Source organism: Homo sapiens, chromosome 15, assembly GCF_000001405.40.
Source record: "Homo sapiens chromosome 15, GRCh38.p14 Primary Assembly".
NCBI classification, from domain to species: domain Eukaryota; kingdom Metazoa; phylum Chordata; class Mammalia; order Primates; family Hominidae; genus Homo; species Homo sapiens.
In genome coordinates this window covers 35,121,226-35,136,877 of record NC_000015.10, presented here as the reverse complement: position 1 = coordinate 35,136,877, position 15,652 = coordinate 35,121,226, and the positions used below count along the sequence as shown (strand labels likewise).

Sequence of the window (15,652 nt, the reverse complement as noted above, 5' to 3'; positions counted from 1 at the left end):
CCCCCAAATCATAGACTTACTAGGACACTTGACAGTTTACTTGAATCACACACAACCCACATGCCTGACCAATTATTAGTTTCTGTTCCTCAGGACAGTTTTCTCATAAGGAATTGGTGGCCTTTAGAGCTAGCTGTCGTGCTGCAGCCTCTCACCACACTATGGTACTTTTTACCACTTCATGCAAATATCTACCAGGAGCATTTTCAGATTATGTGCAGCTTCTATTAATTTCTGCTTCTGTGCACAGGAATTGGTTATTGGCCAAGAAACAAGCTCAATATAGACCTCTCTGGTCATACTATCCCTATTAATGTTTATACAAAAATAGAGTCAGATTACTGACACTAGAGTTGGCACTGCTTGAGACGATCTTTTAACAGAGCAGTTAACTTTTCCATAGTTTGTGTTCTGGCTCTATTCCTCTCTTCTTTTGAACTGGCTTCTAAATAATCTTATAAGTATGTCTGGATATATTCAATTAAGATCCCTTATAATAGAGACTATTTGGCTGATGTAATTTAAGTCCTGTAAACCCTTTTTTCTTTTTCTTTTTTTTTTTTTTTTTGAGACAGAGTCTCACTCTGTTGCCCAGGCTGGAGTGCAGTGGCGTGATTTCGGCTCACTGCAACCTCCACCTCCCAGGTTCAAGTGATTCTCCTGCCTGAGCCTCCCGAGTAGCTGGAATTATAGGCATGTGCCATCATGCCCGACTAATTTTTGTATTTTTAGTAGAGACAGAGTTTCACCATGTTGGCCAGGCTGGTCTCGAACTCCTGACCTCAAGTGATCCACCCACCTCGGCCTCCCAAAGTGCTGGGATTACAGACGTGAACCACTGCGCCCAACCTAAATCCTATAAACTTAAGAGCAGCCTGAATAATCAACTTCCCCCTCTAGCTAATCTACCAAAAGGAAGGGCTATACATCAAACATTCCCAAAACCAAAGTTAGCATATTTGTTAGGTGTCTGAATATTTTAATGGGTTTAAAAATAATGAGCCAACCAGCAAGTTCGCTTATTTAGTTAAACTGGTATAAATGCCACAGGTTATTTTGGCAGATATTCAAGCAGTAGAATTATTAAAGATAGACATTCCATGAGTGCCTTATTAAGATTGTGTTTTGGTTAAGGTGGGTATCTGGTTTTATCTCCTTTTTTTTTTTTTTTTTGTTGAGACAGAGTCTCATTCTGTCACCCAGGCTGGAGTGCAGTGGTGGGATCTCAGCTCACTGCAACCTCCACCTCAGCCTCCTGAGTAGCTGGGATTACAGGCATGGACCACCACACCCAGCTAATTTTGTATTTTTAGTAGAGACGTGGTTTCACCATGTTGGCCAGGCTGGTCTCGAACTCCTGGGCTCAAGCGATCCACCCGCCTTGGCCTTCCAAAGTGCTAGGATCACAGGCATGGGCCACCGTGCCTGACCTAGTGGCCTGGCCTTTATAATTTTTTTCAAGCTAAAATCATATCAAATGTGCTATGAGAAATAAGACGTTAGGACTTCTATTTTGCATCTATTCACTATTCATCTGATTAAATGACTTCGGAAATCATTATTGCAGAAAATCCTGGCCTTTCCAGTGGGTGCAGTTTCAGCTCACTCAGTGGGTAGGTTGGTCTTCTCTCCTGGTTTGGTTCAACTTCCACAGAAAGATGTAAAACAACACCAGTGTCTGCCGAGTTTCACTATGTCTACTCAGCTGGCCTTATTCCTAACTCCATTACATTTTCTTGTCTTTTCTCTTCTTTCACCCTCATTTTTATTCATTTTATGTAGGATTTTTGTCATTTTATGTAGGATTTTTGTGTCCTCCTTAAAGTCCTTTATGTAACAGATATTCAAAAACTGAGTGGATGGAGACAGAGATAGAAAAATGTGTCCTGTTTAAGAGTGAGCCTAAACCCTACCCAATAATGTACTTTAGTATTTCTTAAACTTCTGGTGGTCTTTCCAGCCTCATCTCTAGACATTTTCCACCATACCCTTCACACACCAACCTACCAAAGTGGTCACAACTTCCTAAGCAACCCCCTAAAGTTTTTCTTTGGGACAAGTTTCTTAACCATTTGGGGACTCAGTTTCTTATAAAAAAAAATGGGAATAATACCTACCTTATAGAGTGGTTGTAATGATTAAATACATTCATTTATGAGAAGTACCTAACATGGTGCCTGACGTAAAGTAAGTACATGGTATTGCAGTTGTTGTGGTAGTGGTGATCATATTTTTTCACAAGAGCATGGCTTTGCACATATATTTTCTTCAGCCTAAAATACTGCCTTCTCCACTTACCAAATTTGTATTTCCTTATCTCAGTGAGGCCCTTCCTAATCCCCACAGGGCAAGTTAGAGTCTTATCTGCACTTTAAAACATTTTATAGACCTTTATTATTGTACTTAGTACACTGTGCTCTATTGATGTCTGATGTCTTCATGTATTTATTTTCCCACTAGATTGTTAACACTGCAGTATATGGTCTCCTTAAGGTTATCCCTGACACTTAGCACAGAAAAGATCATGAATATATGTTAAGGAAGGAAGAGAAAGAGGAAGGGAAGAAGCAGAAGAAAGAAAAAGAAAGAAGGAGCAAGCAAATGAATGAATCTAATCTTCTGGCAGTTTCCTGTCTTCCATCATTCCTGGAAGATCCCCAACAGTGATGCATTGATCTCATTGACAAATTCTGTCAGTGCGCTGATTAACAGTTCCCAAGCTTATCACTCAGGGTATAAGTAACTGTGATTCTTCAAGATATTAATTCATTCACAGTGAATAATTTGCCTCTTATTTGATGATAATACCAACTATTGACAAAGCCAAAATTACTCAACTTGCCAAACAAAAAAACAAAATCACTTATTTAGAAAATGGCTCATCTAGGAAAGAAGCAGCTACTTTTGAAATTGACACACATGAGCCAAAATTTGCTTCTTTAGGAAAAAAAATATGCATTTCAATGGTTCACTTGGCTTCAGTGCCCAAGTTTTTATGTAGACAAAAGAAGTGGAAAATGAAGGATAAGTGAACACAGAGTAGGTAAGCACATTGATTTTCTTCATCACTTGCATTCTCTCTGATGATTTTCCCTGTCTCTATTTCCTAAATTATAAATGGAGCGTTCTTATTAATCAGGCTTGTGGAATTGGAAAAGGAATTCAGTCCAAAAAATAAAATTAATTGTAAACTGGAAACATTTTCTCACAAAAAGCAACAGTTTTTCTTCCTCGTCACAGCAAAGATCCTCTTTACAGACATCCTGTTTTTGAGATACTGCCCATTGGCAATAGAACTCGTAACTGAGTAAAATTTCCCCATTTTTATAAACCAGTATTTCAAGCTCTGAAAATGCTACAATATATAATTTTTGTCAGATATCCTGTTAGATAATCTTAATAGTAATAGGGGCCGCCACTATTTTTTTCTTCTTGAAAGCCTTTTACAGTCTGACTCCAGCAGCTATATATTCAGCCACATCACCCACCATTTAGACTTTTGATTTTACCCTCTCACCCCAATCTGCACCTTCTCCAGTCTTCCCTAGATCAGTGAAGGATATGACCACCCAGTCAATTACTCAAGTGAAAAATTTCAGAATTACCTTTGAGTCCTCTCTTTGACCCACTACATCCCATCCATCACCAAGCCCCTTGACACTGCTTCCATAACATCTGCCTAGTCTATCCATTTCAATCCATTCATACTACCACCTACCCACACCACTGTTGTCATTCAGCTGGGCTGCCACAGAAATTTCTATTTGGTTTCTTCTTGCTTGTCTATAGTTTCCACACAGAAACCAAAGACAAGAGCTTTGTTAAAACATAAATCAGATCACATCACTCCCCTGCTTAAAAACCTCCAGTGACCTTTTATTCCACTTAGAATAAAATCCATACTCTTGCCCCTGTGTCATCTGGCCTACGTGGAGTTCTTTGATCCTAGCCTTTACTGCCTTATCATCTCTCACTGTGCACCAGCCATACTGGCTTTCTTCATATTCTTCTTACAAACATTTTCATCTGAAAGTCTTAGTGCTAGCTATTCCTTCTGCCTATAATACTCTTCCCCTGAAATTTGCATGGCCACCATTTTTTTAAAATGTATTTTGTATTTTGCCCTTTAATTTTAATAAATAATTTAAAATATTTTAGAAGAAAATATTGAAAACATGCAAATTCCTTTTTTACATTTATTTACATTTACATTACAATTTTTATCTTTTATTATTGTGGATCCATATTAGTTGTACATATTTATGGGATACATGTGATATTTTGATACAATCATACAATGTCTAATAATCAGATCAGAGTAATTGGGATAGCCATCACCTCAAGCATTTATTTGTCTGTGTGTGTGTATGTGTGTGTGTGTGTGTGTGTGTAAGAACATTCCAATTCCACTCTTCTAGTTATTTTGAAAGATACAATAAATTATTGTTAACTATAGTTGCCTTATTTTGGTACCAAACACTACATCCTTTTATCTCACTATATTTTTGTACCCATTAGCGATCCCCTTTCTATCTCCCTGTCCCTACTACTCTCTTAGCTTCTGGTAACCACCATTCTATTCTCTGTCTCCATTAGTTCAACTTTTTTTTTTTTAGCTCCCACACATGAGTGAGAACATGCAATATTCGTTTTTCTGTGCCTGGCTTATTTCACTTAACATAATGGCCTCTAGTTCCAGTCATATTGTTGTAAATGACAGAATTCCATTATTTTTCATGGCTGAATAATATTCCATTGTATATCCATATCACCATTTTCTTTGTCTGTTCATCCATTGATGGACACTTAGATTGATTCCACCTTGGCTATTGTGAATAGTGCTGTAATAAAAATGGGAGTGCAGATATATTTTCGATATGGTGATTTTCTTTCTTTTTGGATTTTCTTTCTTTCAACAGGTGGGGTTGCTGGATCATATGATAGTTCTATTTTTAGCTTCCTACTGTTCTCCCTAATGACTGTGCTAAATTATATTCTCACCAACAGCATATGAGGGTTACCCTTCCTTGACATTCTCACCAGCATCCATTCTTGGCACAGCCACTATCTTTGTCATTCAGCTCTCAGCCTCAATGTATTCCCTAACTACCCTATATGAAGTAGCTTCTGGGTCACTGTCACTGTCACACCCTATATTGCATTTATCTGATATTTCTGGGAGTTTTTTTTTTGTATAGTTGTTTTCTGTCTTGTTTGCTGCTGAATTTCCTTATATCTAGAATAGTGTTTGGCTCACAATAAATATGTATGTAATTGAATAAATGAATCTTGCTTTCTCAACTTTATTCCCTGTCCACAATACTGAACAATATTTCTGTGGAGAATAATAAGACCAAAGACCAGAGGTAGATTGACTTTGTATGGAGACAGAAAGGCTAAAAAACAGTAAGAGAAAATGACCCGACTAGAGAGGAACATCCTTGTTGAAAGATAGTAAGAGACAAGTTAGTAAAATCTTAACATCAGACTCAGAACGTGGATCAAATCTGATAAGTTATAGAAGCCTCTTCCTAAACCTGGGGAAACACAGACTATAAACTCTATGATATCAGGGATGTTTGTTTTGGTCACTGTTATGAATCCAATACATAGGAGAGTACTGAAACACAGAAGGTGTTCAACAAATAGTTGAAGGCATAAATTAGTGAATAAGCATGATATAATCTGTAGGATGCTTTGTTTGGAAATAGTTTGAAAGATACAACAGAGATAGGAAGACTGTAGAATAGACTTTTCAAAATCTAGACCACAGATTATATTTAAGTGACTTATTAAAATTCAGTTTCCTGTGCCTTTCCTAAGACCTACTAAATAATCTAAGACTGGGGCCAAGAATCTGTATGTCATGAGTTTCCCAGGTCCTTATCTGCAAACTAAAGTTTGAGAATGACTGCCCTACAGGAGGAAAAATGATGGAAGTACTAAAGTGGGATCTATATTTGCGGGACTCAAGAGAACTTGCCAGAATTTTATGACGTACAGAAAAGAGTCAAAATGACTAAGTTTTCAATCTGGCAGGCAGAGAGAATAATGCCACCATTGGTAGAACATAGGAAACTCGTGCATTAGTATGAAAAGGTCTTCTCATTTTAAAAACTTATAAGGTAATAGATTTTCATCTTTTGGAAAACAGTGCGAAGGCATATGTAAAGGTGAAGTGTGAGACTAAGCTAGAAAAATTATGTGCTTCCAAAACCATGGAAGGTGCTGCACTATAATAAATAGCAAAGATATGGCCACTGTATTCTAGAGCATGAGGGTGCAAAGACAAATTAGTCTCATTTCTTATTGTCAAAATCTATATTAAAGGCATGTTACTCCTGTTTATTTTGTAGTGAACACATTCCATATGTCTCAGTAAATAGTTCTTTGTGCAATAGATCCTTGAAATTGGCTTCCTCCCAGCCATGAAACAGATATGGCATTGGAGCAATGCTAGAAAGCAAGAAAGGAATGCCAGAGATCTAATTTGAGGAAAGATCTGAATGCACATGTCTCTGGTAAACATCTTAGAAAGTTGTTCAGTTTTCCATGGTTCGGATTTTATTTATAATTCTTAGTCTTTAGAATATAGAATCCATACTTAGCAGATTTTTTTTAATGTAAAGATGAGCTGAGGCCAGTATATGCTACTCATGAGAAGAATTCTTTAAACGTGGCACTACTTTTGGCACATGTTAGCCTCTGCCTTTGTGTTATGGGAAACCTAACGTTTAGAATACCTCGTGAGTTGAATACCCAAAAGTAAACTATCCCTTCCCACCATGAAGCATAGATCTTTAATATATACTTACAGAATTTTCAACATAAAACCCCAAATTCTTCTTGTCAGTTTTCAGTTAACCACTGTCATATGAGAAAAGAAGTCAAAGGAGAGAGGCCCGCTGGTAGAAGTGAGTACTAGAACATGCCTACAACTACACTCGGGAGACTGCTTGCTTCCCTACAACCATTTTGGAAGCTCTGATTTTTTTATTTGAGTTCAGTGCAAAGTTAAAGGGACTGTATTAGAAGATTCTTTGTGAATTGTTCTGCAGACTGGGCCTTTCTGTTTTCTCCGCACTTGAACAAGAAGTCATGTTGACCCCAATTTTTTAAAAGAGCAGAAAAAATGAAACTACTCATCGAAAACTTATGCCACAAAATTTGGGTCACACATTAGTTAAGTGGGAGGTACAATACCAATTACTTCATTGTTCCTGTCAAGGAAGCCATGAGTCTATCCTGCAAAAATAAAAAAAATTTAAAAAGCGAAGTAAGGCAGCATTCTTGACAGGAACAATTCCCTCACCATTACCCCCGCCCCCGCAAAAAAAATGTCTGGTGAGATCAAAACATTAAGGAAGAGAACATATTTAAACATAAAAGAGGACCAGAATGTTCCTCATAGATGACTGTTCTAGGCCATCTTCCTTGTAGGAATTCTAGGTCAGGAAACTGATACCTGATGAGGAAAACAGTTTGAACTTTCTAAAGCATGCTAATAATTAGTATTGAACAAATCCCAATTCAAATATTAAAATAAGGATCTTGAAGTTCCTTATGCTTTCAGCCAAAAAGTAGTTGTGTACAACTTTGTATCTGCATAAGATAATCACGTTTCAGTGTCAACTACCAGAACTATGATAAGCTTGAACCCGCAATAAGAAGGGAGTAAACTGACTTCTCTCAAAGACGCTTAGATTCTCTCAGGTCTCAGCGCACTAATTAGCATACTACCAGTGCCTTCTTTTGCTTGGTCCCCTCAGTGCCCAAGCTGTTTAGGGACTGTCCAATTCAGAGGAAGAGGAAAGAAGACATCCCTACCAGGAGGATCAGAGCATTGGATATAAACATTGACTCAAATACTCCAAAAGACAAGAGCTTTTCTGTGTCCTTGACTTGTATGAGATGGCTAACTTTAGAAATATGAAGACCCTCTCTCTTCATCTTAATACTGTAATACTGCTATCATTTTTATTGCTTTCTCCCACATGGATAAAGATCTAGTCATGCATTAAAAGAAAAAAAAGTTTCCTTTCTGAAAAGAGATATATTTTCCTGGTTTTTCTACGTGTCAGGAACAACTGAACTCAGAAGGAATAATTTAGATTTATTTACAGTCTGAATTCATACAAGACTAAATTGTGACATTTTGTTTCAATCAAGTTTGGCCTTACAATTATGCCACTTTGTCCTGAAGGTGTGTTTTTATTTTTGTAGATATATGATATACAGACCCTTCGTTAGTGATAGATAATTATTAAGTTTATACATGTTAATCATTTAGCAAACGGCTAATAACCGATTGCATTTAATGAATGAATCCTTTTTTAAAAACTTCAAAATTCAACTCTCTTTAAATTTGCTGTATTATTATTTACTTTATTCATCAGGGTGATTGTGCTGTGATTACCTGGAAATAAATAGCCCCTAACTAACTTTGCTACATATCTAGACTTCCTTTCAACAATAGCTAATCCAATATGTTTAAAAAGCAAAAATTAAATTTCATTTTTTATAATCAACAACCACAAAATGATTTTTTTGCAGATAATTATAATGCTTTTCATAAGGTCTTAAAAAGTAGAGTACCAGAGACATAAATATGAGAGAAAATAGCCACTTTCAATAATTTAGTTTAAAAACAATTAACCCTGGGTCATTTCTCAAAGTTAATCTTCTATGTCAGGAAAACTGAGAGTAATTTAGAGAAGCATAATACCTTTTACTAAATATTTCAAATCCTGCACCTTCATCTATATTGTAAGTAGGTAAAGAGAGAATTATTTAATAACAGTTCAGGCATTCCAAAGCTATGAACACCCATCTTGCAAACATCAAAAACTTGTAAGTAAAGAGATGCACACTCTCTTCACCCAACTGCAAAAACCTAAATTGGTGCCAGTTATGGAAACTTTCTAGCTGTCATCTCTTCTCTAGTCCTGCCATTCTCTATCTTGAGAAGAAGGCTAAGCACAAACCAGGCACAGCAACGTAATAGTTTTCTCAGAGGGAGATTTCCTCCCCATTGTTGGATCCTTTTCATTATCAAGGCTCTCAGTGTATTAAAAATTAAAGACATATTAAAACAAGGTTACAACATTTTTAGCATATTTTAAATGTTCCATCCCAACAATGAATTCTAATGACAGTAGACAACCTCAGTAGAAGATAACGTCAAGAATCTAAATTTGAGGCTCTTCACGAAGATGAATACAGACCAAATGGCTCTCCTGGTTCTCTCTATAATTAACTCTGCTATTTACTCCCAGTTTTCATTCCCTTGAAGTTTTTTAACAGGTTTCTCTGCTACCAGTATTTCACACCTACCATCCATCCTCCATAATGCTATCAGAGTGACCTTTCTAAAATGTCCACTTGGTCATGTTATTTCCATGCTTAAAACCCCCTAAGTTTCCAGGGGTCTGTAGACTTAAGACAGGCTGCTTCCCATGGGGACCACAGAACCCTTTCTTGCTCCAGCCCTGGCCTGCCCCTCCATTCCCGTGTCCCAGTGCATCACCTCCCTTCCATTCGGCCTCTGCACTTCGCACACTTTCCTCGGCTCACCCTGTTCCCTGAGCCTGAATTGCTCTCACTCTATCTGCCGGCAAAGAAACTCCTCCTCTTTTAAGATTCACAAGCCTGGTTCACCAACGGTCTCAAGAGGCTCTGGCCACCTTCTTGTTGGCCCTATTGTATCCCAGTTACCTCTTTTGTAGTTTCTATAATGACTATTACACTTAGTTTTTTTATGAGTTTGACTTCCCTTACTATGCTTGAAGTTTCTTGAGGGCAGGGACTGTTTTCATCCACTTTTGTATCTATCCTCAGTGTCTGGAGCACAGGGAGTACTAGATTAATACGTTTTATAATATTTTCATCTTTGTTGTTGGTTTACTTGATTTTTCTTCACTTGTTTCTTTTCCCTTCTCACCATTCCACTTTTGAGTTTTAAAAAATCATTTTAATCTTGACTGATAAGCATTAAAATAGTATTATCAAAGACTTTTATCATGAATAAGTAGGGTTATGTTTTGAAGGGAAATTCTACATAATTTTTAAGAGCCATCAGCTTCTAAAATTCCTTAAGAAAATAAGCCTCTCCATGACAATTTCTATACATCTCTTCATCTTCTTATACTTAAATCTACTTCTCTCCAAGCACAGAGAGACAAGAAAAATTTAACTTTTTATTCAATTTTATGATTTCTCTCTTTGGTTTTATTGCTGCAGTATTATTTTCCTGCTACTTGTTCATTTCAAATATGTAATGTTTCTGCTGCATTGTGGGTTAAATGACTTTCATGTGCTGATTTTCCAACCCCGGCACCATCCATGATATCATTTTCTGTGGAGACATGTATTTTAAGTTGCAATCTGCCTCAAAATCCTTTTGGAATTTAGCACATTTGTAGGTTGTGGATTCTCCACTGAGATTAGGAAAACTGTCATGTGCTAATTTAAATTATTCATTCAGCAAGAATTTATTGAGTAATAACATTTGTCAGAATCAACTTTAGGCTCTGAGGATAAGGCATGGAGTTAATTAGGCCCCTGCCTTCAAGGTGTTTACAATCTAATGCATAAATTTTGCTAAATATTGGCATGTTTCTCTTTCTGCCTCTCCAATACTGCCCCTTGTGAAAACAAATTCTATTTATGATCTTAATCGCATGGAAATAGTTATTATGAGAATAACAAATTAGCTTTAATCTTTCTGAGAATCACCTCATAAATATAAGAAATAGTTTGTCATGTTTATTTCCTTAAATACCCATTTGAGATCTATTCTTTCTGTTTTTCTTTTTAATGAGCTTCCCTCCATCTCAAAGAGATCTGTAATACTTTGTTACTTCATAACATCTACATTGATCCTCGAACACCCTTCTGGAAGGATTTCTCAAGCAATATGCTTATTTTTTAGACCTTTTTTCCTCCAGTCTAGACAAGAGAAGATCCATCCACTATTTGAGGTCTCATTTTTTGTCTTCTATCAAGTAAAAAAAAAAAAAACTGGGTCTGGAGATATAAGTCTTTAACAATGTACAGTACTAAGCATTTAATGTGTGAATTTGTCTTAAATGGTTATACTTTAATCGGATCACAATTATTCCTGGCAACTAATGGATGTATCTGTAAAATGGAATTTGTCCATTAATGATAGAAGGGTTCCTAAAGATCTTTTAACATGAGATAAATAAAGCAGTAGATCAACAGAAGACAGGTATATTTTATAATAATCACCCTGAAAGAGCTATTTCAAGTAACAATTACCCACTCAGGGATGATGGGGGAATTTCTAATGGCTATAGCATAAGAATCACTTACCATGTGGCAAGAAAAACCTGCTATTCCCCCAAGCTTAAAATGGAAACATTCTTTAATGGGAAAATAATGCCTTAATTCACTCTCTTAAAATGTTTAAATTAAATATATATAATACAATGTTTTCATCTCTACAGTCTTACTCATTATTTTTCTAAGCATAATTTTTAAATCTATCCTTTATGCAGAAAAAGCTGGTAAAACAGTAGATTCATTTTTTGTTTCCATGGAAGCCTTCCTTCTATAAAACATGTCTTACCTTTTCTAATTATTTTTTTAATGCCATCATTTCAACTCTTGGTGTTTTCTTCCCCTAAGTCTCCAGTTTAAATCAGTTTTTATTTTGTGGCTTGTCTGACTCTGGAGCTTTCCTCTATGAAACTGGTCATTCCACTCAGAAAAAAACTTAGATTTTTGGTGCCAGTCCGAAAGGAACAAATAGGTCAGCTCCTACTTACTATTTTTGGTGAATAAAGGAAAGAGAAATGTCAGTCTGTTCATATATTGATATATTCATTCAACTAGTATTTACCGAGCATGTATTCTAGACAGATACTAGCTCAGGGACCTGAAGTAAAGCTGGGGAATGTTGACACACACACAAAAATTACTATACATTGCAGAATGAAACACTGAAATTTTCTATCTGGTGTTCTAGGAGAATAGAGAAATATTACTAAATCCTCATACTATTGTTGCAATTTCAATTAAATAGGGTAAGCCCACTGAGTAAATTCTACTCTTCCTAAGTGCTCATGGCTTCTTTTACCAGGGAACTTCTTAATTATATGGGTTCATCAAAAGATAGAGCTGACTTCAGAAACTCCTGTGGAAGGCTTTTAAAAACTCCTTATATCATATTTTAGAGCATCTGTAAATCCGTGGCCACTTTCTCACTGTTATTCTATCCGTATTTTTATTGGAAAAATGCAAAGATCCTCAGCAATCATAAATTAAATGTTAATGATTTTTACATTTTTGAGACACTTTGCTTATAAGAAACACACTGCATTTCAAACATGTTCATATGCTTAAGACATCCATCGAATGAACCTAGGTCCACTGAATCTTATGCAACTCACCCAGACTTACTTGAAACCAGTTTTCTCAGTATGGGTGCCATGGAACCTGAATATATTAATCATAAGAAGAGTTAACAGTCCACCTTATGGATCAGTCAGAAACGTGAACTCAAAATCTTTCCCTGTTTGTTATACTCTCTTTTTTTGCCCTACATCTAGCCTTTCAGTTCCTGGTTGGGACCCTCTAACTTGCATCTCAGTGATGAAGCTCCTCCATGTCTGTCCAGCAATAAACTCAGCTTTGGTATTTTTTAGGTCTGATGATCTTTGTATATTGATTCTGATTTGCTAAAGACCCCTAACATGTATTTTGTATTTAAAATTATATATTTACTATGTGTCAGATACTGTTCTTAGAACTTTGCAAATATGAACCTGTATTAGTACTGATTTGTAATTTTCCTGAAGCAAGAGTTAGAATCACAGATACTTTCAAGAAGCATCATTTAACCAGCCAATGAACCTAGCTGACTGTCCAGTATTCATATCTTATCATCTAGCACTTTCATTACTATTCATCTTTGTTTTTTACTTGTTTCTCATAGTAACTGTCATGATGATTTATGGGCAAAAATTGGCTCAAAGAAGAAAGCCAACTGCTAGAGCTCTTGATAGAAATAAAGAGGAAGGAAAGTAATTCAGAGAAAAAATCTGTTTTAGCCTGAAAATAGAAATTTCCAATAGATTAAATAGTAGCATGTTGAATTTGATGGCAGATCAGATATGTAACATGAAAGAATTCACAGAACTTTCTAGGCAAAGCAAAAGAAAACCATTTCAGGGAGAAATTCTCATGTCCCTAACAATGCAATAAATGCATACTATGGAAAAAAAAAGTCAATGGACATTGAATTTGTTTTTTGTGTGTTGGGAGGATATGTATGAGAAAGAACTATCAAGGGAGAGAAAGCTGGAAGTTAGAATAAAGTCAGAACACTTTCATACTTATAAAATTAGGGATTCACAAAGATCTCCAAATCCTTGTAAATTTCAGAGTTCTACCACACTGTTTAAAAAGCTTCAATATTAAATAATTTTTGTTACCCAATATGAATGTTTTTTGTGATTTTTCACTGTGGTAGAATATAATAAAATGTATAACTTTAATCTTTTGTTGTTGTTCAGATGGAGTCTTTCTCTGTCGCTCAGGTTGGAGTGCAGTGGCGCAATCTCGGTTCACTGCAACCTTTGCCTCCCAGGTTCAAATGATTCTCCTACCTCAGCCTCCCGAGTAGCTGGGACTACAGGCGCCTGCCACCACGCCCGGCTAATTTTTCGTATTTTTAGTAGAGACGGGGTTTCACTGTGTTAGCCAGGATGGTTTCGATCTCCTGACCTCATGATCTGCCCACCTCGGCCTCCCAAAGTGCTGGGATTACAGACGTGAGCCACCACACCCCGCCAACTTTAGTCTTTTTTTTTTTTTTCTTTTGAGACGGAGTTTTGCTCTTATTGCCCAGGCTGGAGTGCAGTGGCATGATCTCAGCTCACTGCAACCTCTGCCTTCCAGTTTCAAGCGATTCTTCTGCCTCAGCCTCCCGAGTAGCTGGGATTACAGGCACCCGCCACCACGCCTGGCTAATTTTTTTTGTATTTGTAGTAGAGACGGGGTTTCACCATGTTGGCCAGGCTGGTCTCTAAACTCCTGACCTCGTGATCCGCCCACCTCGGCCTCCAAAAGTGCTGGGATTACAGGTGTGAGCCACCGCACCCGGCCAACTGTAGTCATTTTTAAGTGTATAATTCACTGGCATTAAGTGCACTCATGTTGTTGTGCAGCCATCACTGCTATCCATCTCCAGAACTTTTTCATCATCCCAAACTGAAACTCTGTACCCACTAAACAATAACTCCAAGTCCTCCCCTCCCCTCAGCTCCTGATAACCACTATTCCACACGCTGTCTCTATGAATTTGGCAACTCTACATACCTCATATAAGTGGAATCATACAATATTCCTCATTTTGTGTGGCGTATATTTTATTTAGCATAATGTCTTTAAGGTTATTATTGCATGAATTAGAATTTTATTCCTTTTTAAGGCTGAATGATATTCCATTGTGTGTATGTACCACATTTTGATTATCCATTCATCTGCCAATGAACATTTGGGTCACTTCTATCTTTTGGCCATTGTGAATAATCTTACTATTGATGCACAAATATCTGTTCATTTGAATCCAGTCTCCTGACCAGAAAAAAAAAATAAATATCTGAACTCATGGCGGCGGCAGCGGCAGCTGTTTGGGCGCGGTGCGGTGGTGACTGAGCTACGAGCCTGGCGGCGGGTGCGCGCCGAGCCCCGGCCCGGCCCCCGCGTGCCTCCCAGGCTCCACACCCCTGATGCTGAGCGGGTGCTGAGCCCGCTCCGGCCGGGACGATGGTGAAGTATTTACTGGGCCAGGGCGTGCTCCGCAGTTCCTGGGACCAAGTGTTCGCCGCCTTTTGGCAGCGGTACCCGAATCCCTGTGGCAAACGTATCTTGACGGAAGACATAGTACACCGGGAGGTGACCCCTGACCAGAAACTGCTGTCCCGGCGACTCATGACCAAGACCGACAGGATGCCCCGCTGGGCCGAGCGACTGTTTCCTGCCAATGTGGCTCACTCGGTGTACATACATATTGGAGGACTCTGTTGTGGACCCACAGAATCAGACCATGACCACCTTCACCTGGAACATCAACCACGCCCGGCCGATGGTGGTGGAGGAACGATGTGTTTACTGTGTGAACTCTGACAACAGTGGCTGGACCGAAATCCGCCGGGAAGCGTGGGTCTCCTCTAGCTTATGCGGTGTCTCCAGAGCTGTCTGGGAATTTGGTCTTGCCCAGTTCAAAAGCAACGTGACCAAGACTTTGAAGGGTTTTGAATATATCTTGGCGAAGCTGCAAGGCGAGGCTGCTTCCAAAACACTTATTAAGACAGCCAGGGAAGCCAAGGAGAAGGCAAAGGAGACGGCCCTGGCAGCTACAGAGAAGGCCAAGGACCTCGCCAGCAAGGCGGCCACCAAGAAGCAGCAGCAGTAGCAGCAGTTTGTGTAGCCAGCCCATCACCACCACAGCTCCCCAGACAGTTGGCTTAGCCCCTCTGCCCTCCCTCCATTGTACTTTATCATTAAAAATCAACTTCCAGCCCTATCTACTGTCTGGGCGGTGGGTTGTGGGGAATCCAGTTTGACATCTGCAGTACACCAGGCACGTGATCCACGTTTGAGCCACGTCTGCTTATTCTCCCAT

The 15,652-nt window shown here is 38.1% G+C and overlaps 1 pseudogene; it reads left to right on the top strand.

The window, feature by feature from the left end:
• Positions 14,630-15,652, top strand: PRELID1P4 (PRELID1 pseudogene 4; annotated as a pseudogene).